Source organism: Homo sapiens, chromosome 12 (genome assembly GCF_000001405.40).
Source record: "Homo sapiens chromosome 12, GRCh38.p14 Primary Assembly".
Classification (NCBI taxonomy): domain Eukaryota; kingdom Metazoa; phylum Chordata; class Mammalia; order Primates; family Hominidae; genus Homo; species Homo sapiens.
In genome coordinates, this window is record NC_000012.12 from 111604512 (window position 1) to 111613991 (window position 9480).

At 47.3% G+C, this 9480-nt stretch overlaps 1 annotated feature.

The window, feature by feature from the left end:
* Positions 7152-7651: an enhancer, noted in NCBI's record as "H3K4me1 hESC enhancer chr12:112049467-112049966 (GRCh37/hg19 assembly coordinates)". NCBI's record gives its function as "activates a minimal SCP1, AML or CMV promoter by ChIP-STARR-seq in naive H9 embryonic stem cells {active_cell/tissue: H9 hESC(naive)}" and the evidence as "EXISTENCE:reporter gene assay evidence [ECO:0000049][PMID:30033119]".

The window sequence follows — 9480 nt, forward strand, 5'->3', positions numbered from 1 at the left end:
GTTCAAGTGATCCTCCCCGCTCAGCCTTCCATGTAGCTGGGATTATAGGCACTCACCACCATGTCCAGCTAATTTTTGTATTTTTAGTAGAGACGACATTTTTTCGTGTTGGCCAGAACTCCTCACCTCAAGTGATCTGCCTGCCTTGGCCTCCCAAAGTGCTGGGATTACAGGTGTGAGCCACCACACCACCCAACCAACAAGTGAACATTTTGAATGCTCTCCTTTCCCCCAAATGATTTTCAGACACCCCTTTAAACAAAAGCAGAGAGTCAGAGAGTTGTCTGCAAAGGCAGTGAACAGTACTCTCCTGAAAGAGTTCTGATATTGAGAAGTGTTGCTAAAATTTCAACTTCAAAAATAGCTATGGTCATTTCAGCCACTATTTCAGAAATGAAAAAATATCTCAAGTGAGAGAGCTTGGAGACAGACCTGCAGACTTGAGAATCTAGTCCAGTAGATTCTATACTTGCTTTCTGATTTTCATTGACCCTTCAGCAAGCCACAGGGCCCTTTTATTAGCCTGTTAATAATTTTCTTTTCTTTTCTTTTCTTTTTTGTTTTTTTTGAGACAGATTCTTGCTCTGTTGCCCAGGCTAGAGTGCAGTGGTGTGATCTCAGCTCACTGAAACCTCCACCTCCTGAATTCAAGTGATTCTTCTGCCTCAGCCTCCCGAGTAGCTGGGATTACAGGCGCCTGCCACTGTGCATGGCTAATTTTTGTATTTTTAGTAGAGGTGGGGTTTCGCCATGTTGGCCAGGGTGGTCTCAAACTCCTGACCTCATGATCTGCCCGCCCCGGCCTCCCAAAGTGCTGGGATTACAGGTGTGAGCCACTGCGCCCAGCTTTTTTTTTTTTTTTTTTTTTTTTGGAGACAGAGTCTTGCTCTGTCACCCAGGCTAGAGTGCAGTGGCACAATCTCAGCTCACTGCAACTTCCGCCTCCTGGGTTCAAGCGATTCTTCTGCCTCAGCCTCCTAAGTAGCTGGCACTACAGGTGTGCGCCACCACACCTGGCCAATTTTTTTATTTCCTTTTTTTTTTTTTTTTTTTTTTTGAGACAGAGTCTCGCTCTGTCACCCAGGCTGGAGTGCAGTGGCGCAATCTCGGCTCACTGCCAGCTCCGCCTCCTGGGTTCACGCCATTCTCCTGCCTCAGCCTCCCAAGTAGCTAGGACTGCAGGTGCCTGCCACCAGGCCTGGCTAATTTTTTGTATTTTTAGTAGAGACGGGGTTTCACCGTGTTAGCCAGGATGGTCTCGATCTCCTGACCTCGTGATCCGCCCGCCTCGGCCTCCCAAAGTGCTGGGATTACAGACGTGAGCCACCGCGCCTGGCAATTTTTTTATTTCTAATAGAGACACGGTTTTGCCATGTTGGCCAGGCTGGTCTCGAACTCCTGACCTCAGGTGATCCACGCACCTCAGCCTCCCAAAATGCTGGGATTACAGGCATGAGCCACCATGCCCGGCTGAGCCTGTTAATTTTCATCACTTCAATGATTAATCAAGTCTCGGGATTTGGGGATGACAAACTGATGGAGCTATGTGGAGCAGAACTGTGAAGAGTGATTTGCTTGCACTCACTACAGAAGCACATATCACGTGATCCAGTATTCCTGGCAATTCACATTTCTGCAATCATGCCTTTTCATTTCTCTTCCCTTGATCTTGCTTAATGTATGATGGTATATTATTCACTAAATACTCTTGATTTCACTTTCAAAAGCATGAAAATTAATTCAAATCAGAACTAACTTGCATCCCCCCAAATTCATCCTCTTCAAGTTTTTGTATAGACCAATCCTCATTTAAAAAAAAAAAAAAAAGCTGATGTAATATCAAAAATAGGACCATGGCTAATTAAACCAATGTTTTTTTTTCTAACCACAGTTACTCAGAATTCGTAGAGGCTCATCTATTTGTAGACACTCCAGGAATCCCAAAAGAGTAAATGCAATAAAAAACATTATTTTTTAAAAAATGAAAAGTGTTTGGGGGAGAGGGCTTCCAGGAAGGGATTATTTATATACCTTGTATGCAAAGTAACAACTTTCCCATAGCTTTGAAAAAAGTGGAGGGTGGGGAGCTGCAAAATTGTAGAGAACACAGCAACATTATTTAAAGAACTTTTAAATGAGCCATTCCCTCCAAACGAGCACACTCCTGGTTGTTAAGTTGCTCGTTTTGTTTTACCTTGTGGGATAGAATAATGATGCAGTAACATTATTCACAAGGCAAAGCTGGTTGCCAGCTGAAATAGACACAGAAGAAAGAATTCTTTATTTTTCATTGGAAATGCTTGGGCTCTGCAGAGCCAGAAATTTAAAGAAACTCAGCCTTTTGTTTTTCCTCTTTCTCCCTTTTTTGTTTTTATTCACCCTCTTTTTGGGGGTGAGTTTGGTGGGCAGCCTGTTGTTTCAGGGCCACAGATTTATGGAAAGCCAAAGATCTGAATTATGCATGATTTGGAGAATGCAGGAAGGGATTTAAAATGGATGTGTGCAGACCAGTGACAGCTGAACTGGCCATTAGCATGGGATCTTGTTAGTTTGCTACGGGATATGGTGAGTCCTACAATGGAACCCCAGAAGAGTCAGACTATAATGAATACTGACATTGCTGACCTTCGATCTCAGAATAGGGACTTGGATACTTGTTCCCCAGTAGAATCACATATGGGCTTAACCATACACACCGTTTTGCTTAAGCCCTCATATTATCAAAATATTTATTTTCCACAAGGTAAGGCAGGGCTAGAGAACAATAATGAAAATAATAATTGTAGACCTTTACATGGCATTTACTATGTGCCAACCATGTTCTAAGTGCTACCTGCACAATAACTTGCTCATTGAATCCTTGTAACAACCTGCTGCTTCTCAATGCCAAGGACAGTTTTGCCCCAGCTCCATCGCCCCCTCAGGAGACATTTGGCAATGTCTAGACACATTTCTGTTTGTTACGATTGGAGGGGAATGCCCCTGGCATCTTGTGAGTACAGACCAGGTATGCTGTTTGTGATATTGTTAAATATAGGTATTTGGTGTTTGTTCTGGTTTTCTGGCACGCAACTCCTAAAATTCTCAAAATCTCCAAAGTGATGGACAGCCTCAGTATGAGGGCTGGACATAGGAAAGACAATAATGACAGGGTTGGGACTCTTCAGCCCCATCCCCCAGCCTCTGGGGAGGGAAAGGAGGCTGAAGGTTAACTTGATCACCAGTGGCCAATGATTTAATCAATCATGCCAATAGAATGAAGCTTCCATAAAAATCAAGAAGAGCTGGGTTATGAGAGCTTTTATTTATTATTATTATTTTTTTTTTTGAGATGGAATCTTGCTCTGTCACACAGACTGGGTTGCAGTGGCGTGATCTCAGCCCTGTGCAACCCCTGCCTCCCTGGGTTCAAGCGATTTTCATGCCTCAGCCTGCTGAGTACTGGGATTACAGGCATGCGCCACCACGCCCGGCTAATTTTTGTATTTTTAGTAGAGACGGGATTTCACCATGTTGGCGAGGCTGATCTCGAACCCCTGGCCTCAGGTGATCAAACCGCCTCGGCCTCCCAAAATGCTGGGGTTACGGGCATGAGCCACTGCACCTGGCCTATTTTTTTTTTTCTTTGAGTCGGAGTCTCGCTGTGTTGCCCAGGCTGGAGTGCAGTGGCGCGATGTCAGCTCACTGCAAGTTCCGCCTCCCAGGTTCACGCTATTCTCCTGCCTCAGCTTCCCAACTAGCTGGGACTACAGGCGCCCGCCACCATGCCTGGCTAATTTTTTTTTTTTTTTTTTGTATTTTTAGTAGAGACGGGTTTTCACCGTGTTAGCCAGGATGGTCTTGATCTCCTGACCTTGTGATCCGCCCGCTGAGCTAGAGCAATCCTTCTGTCTAAGCTGTCCAAAGTGCTGGGAATACAGGCATGAGCCACCATACCCATCCCTGAGAGCTTCTAGATAGCTGAAGAGGTGGAGGTTCGTGGAGTGTGACTTGCCCCTTCCCACATACCTTGCCCTGCACCTCTCTTCCATCTGGCTGTATCTTTTGTAATAACAGAAGTGTTTCCCTCAGTTCTGTGACCCACCCTAGCAAAGTAATCAAACCTGAGGAGGGGATCGTGGGAACCCCGATCTCTTGCTGGGGCCCTGATTTACAGCCTGTTTTTGTGACTGGCATCTGAAGTCGGGGGTGTGATCCGATGCTATCTCCAGGTAGATAGTGCCAGAATTGAATTGAATTAGAGGTGCCCAGATGCACACTCCAGAATTGCTTGCTTGATATGTGGTAGGGAAAAGCCCCCACACATCTAGTGTCAAACGCATTTTTTTTTTTTTTTGAGGCAGAGTCTCCCTCTGTCACCCAAGCTGGAGTGCAGTGGCGCAATCTCGGCTCACTGCAACCTCCACCTCCTGGGTTCAAGCAGTTCTCCTGCCTCAGCCTCCTGAGTAGCTGGGATTACAGGCACGCACCACCATGCCCAGCTAATTTTTGTATTTTTTTCGAAGAGACAGAGTTTCACCATGTTGGCCAGGCTGGTCTTGAACTCCTGGCCTCAGGTGATCCGTCTGCCTTGGCCTCCCAAAGTGCTGGGATTACAGGCCTGAGCCACTGCGCCTGGCTGGTGTCAGAAGCCTTTTTTTTTTTTTTTTTTTTTTTTTTTGAGGTGGAGTCTTGCTCTGTTGCGCAGTCTAGGGTACAATGATGTGATCTCGGCTCACTGCAAACTCCGCCTCCTGGGTTCAAGCAATTCTCCAGCCTCAGCTTCCCGAGTAGCTGGGATTACAGGCACCCGCCATCATGCCCAACTAATTATTGTATTTTTAGTAGAGACGGGGTTTCACCATGTTGGCCAGGCTGGTCTTGAACTCCTGACCTCAGGTGATCTACCCACCTCAGCCTCCCAAAGTGCTGGGATTACAGGCGTGAGCCACCGCCCCAGCCCAGAAGCGTTCTATGTTGTATTGTGAGAGTATAGGAGAATCCAAATTTGTTTTTTTCTATGTCCTTATACTGTTGAACACCCTATAATGCACAGGACAATCTCCCAGCACAAAGAATTAATCCAGCCCAAAATGACGATGGTGCTGAGGTTAAGAAACCCTGTAGTAACCCTGAGAAGTAGATAGGATTATTATTCCCCTTTTACAGATGGGGAGACTAGGGCATACAGAGAGTGAGTCACTTTGTCTAAGGGCACATTTATTAAATGGTAAAGGTGCAATTCGAACCCAGAAAGTCTGTTTCCAACATCCGGGTTCTAAACTGCTTTCCTATATGGAATAGTAAAGGCCTGGCCGGGTGTGGTGGCTCACGCCTGTAATCCTAGCACTTTGGGAGTCCGAGGCGGGAGGATTGCCTGAACTGAGGAGTTCGAGACCAGCCTGGGCAACATGGTGAAACCCTATCTCTACTAAAATACAAAAAAAAAAATTAAATAGCTGGGCATGGCGTTGTGCGCCTATAGTCCCAGCTACTTGGGAGGCTAAGGCAGGAGAACTGCTTGAACCCAGGAGGTGGAGGTTGCAGTGAGCCAAGATCGTGCCACTGTGCTCCAGCCTGGCGACAGAGCAAGACTCCATCTCAAAAAAAAAAAAAAAAAAAAAAAAAGTAAAGGCCTAAGGTGGCTCTCTTGAAAAAAATCAGCTTCTCTCCTTTGTCTCATCAAATACAGGGCTCTAGTGAACTGGCACCACTGATGACTGCCTGTTTCTTTATTCAAGGAATAGTGATTATTATAGAAGTCACCACCTGCAAGGGACAAATTGGCAATGCCTTAAAAACTGACAGTGCACGCATGTTGGTTCCTATAGGAAAAAAATTAATTAAAAACAAAAACAAAAACAAAAAAACCAGGCACAGTGGCTCATGCCTGCAATCCAAGCACTTTGGGAAGCCGAGGCGTGTGGATCACCTGAGGTCAGGAGTTTGAGGCCAGCCCGGCCGACATGGTGAAACCCCGTCTCTACTAAAAATACAAAAAAAAAAATTAGCTGGGCGTGGTGGCGGGTGCTTGTAATCCCAGCTACTTGGGAGGCTGAGGCACGAGAATTGCTTGAACCCAGGAAGCCAAGGTTGCAGTGAGCTGAGATCGTGCCACTACACTGCAGCCTGGGTGACAAAGTGAGGCTCTCTCAAAAATATAATAAAAATTAAAAAATAGGCCAGGCGCAGAGGCCCACGCCTGTAATCCTAGCACTTTGGGAGGCCGAGGCGGGTGGATCACCTGAGGTCAGGAGTTTGAGACCAGCCTGACCAACATGTAGAAACGCTATCTCTACTGAAAATACAAAATTAGCCAGGCTGGTGCACATCCCTGTAATTCCAGCTACTCGGGAGGCTGAGCAAAGAGAATCGCTTGAACCCAGGAGGTAGAGGTGGAGGTGAGCCAAGATCATGCGATTGTACTCCAGCCTGGGCAACAAGAGTGAAACTCCATCTAAAAAAATACATAAAAATAAAGTAAATGAAAAAGAATTAGCTGGGCGTGGCGGGGCATGCCTGTGGTCCCAGCTACTCAGGAGGCTGAGGTGGGAGGATCACTTGGGCCTGGGAGGTCAAGGCTGCATGCAGTGAACCATGATTGTGCCACTGCACTCCAGCCTGAACAACAAAGCGAGATCATGTCTCAAAACAAAAAAAGAGGCTGGGCATCATGGCTCACGCCTGTAATCCCAGCACTTTGGGAGGCCGAGGCGGGCAGATCATTTGAGGTCGGGAGTTTGAGACTAGCCTGGCCAACATGGTGGTGAAACCGTGTCTCTATTAAAAATACAAAAATTAGAGCCGGGCATGGTGGCTCACACCTGTAATCCCAGCACTTTGGGAGGCCAAGGTGGGCGGATCACAAGGTCAGGAGTTCGACACCAGCCTGGCCAATATGGTGAAACCCCATCTCTACTAAAAATATAAAAAATTAGCCGAGTGTGGTGGTGTGCACCTGTAGTCCAAGCTAATTGGAAGGCTGAGGAAGGAGAATCACTTGAACCCAGGAGGCAGAGTTTACAGTGAGCCAAGATCATGCCACTGCACTCCAGCCTGGATGACAGAGTGAGACTCTATCCCAAAAAAACAAAAAACAGGCTGGGCGCAGTGGCTCACACCTGTAATCCCAGCACTTTGGGAGGCCGAGGCGGGCAGATCACGAGGTCAGGAGATCGAGACCATCCTGGTAACACGGTGAAACCCCCGTCTCTACTAAAAATAGAAAAAATTAGCCGGGCGTGTTGGCAGGCACCTGTAGTCCCAGCTACTCGTAGTCCTAGCTACTCAGGAGGCTGAGGCAAGAGAATGGCGTGAACCCAGGAGGCAGAGCTTGCAGTGAGCCGAGATTGCGCCACTGCACTCTAGACTGGGCGACACAGCCAGACTCTGTCTCAAAAAACAAACAAACAAACAAACAAAAATTAGCAGGGCTTGATGGTAGGTGCCTATAATCCTAGCTACTCAGGAGGCTGAGGCAAGACAATTGCTTCAACCCAGGGGGTGGAGCTTAGTGAGCTGAGATCGGGCCACTGCACTCCAGCCTGGGCGACAGGGAGAGACTTCGTCTCAAAAAATAAAAAGAGCTGGGGGCATGTTGGCCCATGCCTATAATCCCAGCACTTTGGGAGAGTGAGGCAGGCAGATCACGAGGCTGGGTGATCGAGACCACCCTGGCTAACACAGTGAAACCCGGTCTCTACTAAAAATTCAAAAAAAATTAGCCAGGTATGGTGGCCTGCACCTGCAGTCCCAGCTACTCGGGAGGCTGAGACAGGAGCGACAGGAGAATTACTTGAACCCAGGAGGTGGCGGTTGTAGTGAGCCAAGTTCGCACCACTGCACTTCAGCCTGGGTGACAGAGCAAGACTCCATCTCAAAAAAAAAAAGAAAAGAAAAGAAAAGAAAAGAAAAAATATCTTATTGTCTACACCACTTTACTTTTGTGTTATTCAAACAGAAACTACCATTTTCAAACTCTAGGCAGGAAATCCTAAGTCACACAGAAATAGAAAGGAAAGGCCATTTTCAGGAAGATTTTTTTGTTTTGTTTTGTTTTTATTTGTTTGTTTTGAGACACAGTCTAGCTCTGTCGCCCAGGCTGGAGTGCAATGGCATGAACTCGGCTCACTACAACCTCTGCCTCCCGGGTTCAAGCGATTCTCCTGCCTCAGCCTCCCGAGTAGCTGGGATTACAAGCGCACACCACCACGCCCAGCTAATTTTTGCATTTTTAGTAGAGATGGGGTTTCACTGTGTTGGCCAGGCTGGTCTTGAACTCCTGACCTCGTGATCCGCCCGCCTCAGCCTCCCAAAGTGCTGGGATTACAAGTGTGAGCCACCACGCCCAGCAGGAAATTTAATCCTGCATGCTTTTCTGCCACATTTGGATTTTTTTCTGCTGAAATGTCATATTGGCCAAATATAGGAGCAGCAGAAGCAGGCAGAGCCCTCTGCTCCTGTTGTCACCTACATGGAGTCAATCTGAGCATAGTGGGTACTTAATAATTTGATCTGAGACTAATTCTCAATTTTTGCAAGTTTGCTTAATTGGGCCTGCAATGGCACATGCTTCCTATGCACCTGCTAATGGCTACCAGCCATGGGCCAGGACGATGGGGCCAACATCCAACGCTACCCACAATGACCCAAGCAATTCCAGGCAGTTAGGGGACCTTCTTTACCTAAGTGTTGCCATCGTATGTGATTTCAGTGGAGAAGTTTCCTTTTTTTTTTTTTTTTTTTTTTGAGACAGGGATTAGCTCTGTCATCCAGGCTTGAGTGCAATGGTGTGATCTCAGCTGACTGTAACCCTCTCCTCCCAGTGATCCGCCCACCTCAGCCTCCCAAGCAGATACATGCGCACAGGGACAGGGATCACAGTTGCACACCACCATGCCTTGCTAATTTTTGTATTTTTTTGTAGAGACGTGGTCTCACCCTGTTGTCCAGGCTGGTCTCAAACTCCTGGGTCAAAGTGATCTATCTGCCTCGGCCTCCCAAAGTGCTGGGATTACAGGTGTGAGCCACTGTGCCTGGCCCAGAATTTTCATTCTCCCACTGGATGAAGCCATTTTTTTTTTTTTTTTTTTTTGAGACGGAGTCTCGCTCTGTTGCCCAGGGTGGAGTGCAGTGGCGCGATCTCGGCTCACTGCAAGCTCCGCCTACCGGGCTCACGCCATTCTCCTGCCTCAGCCTCTGGAGTAGCTGGGACTACAGGCGCCCACCACCACGTCCGGAGAGTTGTTTTTTTTTTTTGTATTTTTAGTGGAGATGGGGTTTCACCGTGTTAGCCAGGATGGTCTCGATCTCCTGACCTTGTGATCCACCCGCCTCGGCCTCCCAAAGTGCTGGGCTTACAGGCATGAGCCACCGCTCCCGGCCGAAGCCAATTTTTATTGCAGTTAGTTAATAGCTTGTGATGTCGCCTTGCAGGCATTGGGAAAAGCATCATTCTAAGTTCATCAGAAGACACTGGAACCAAGAAACCACAGGAGCCTT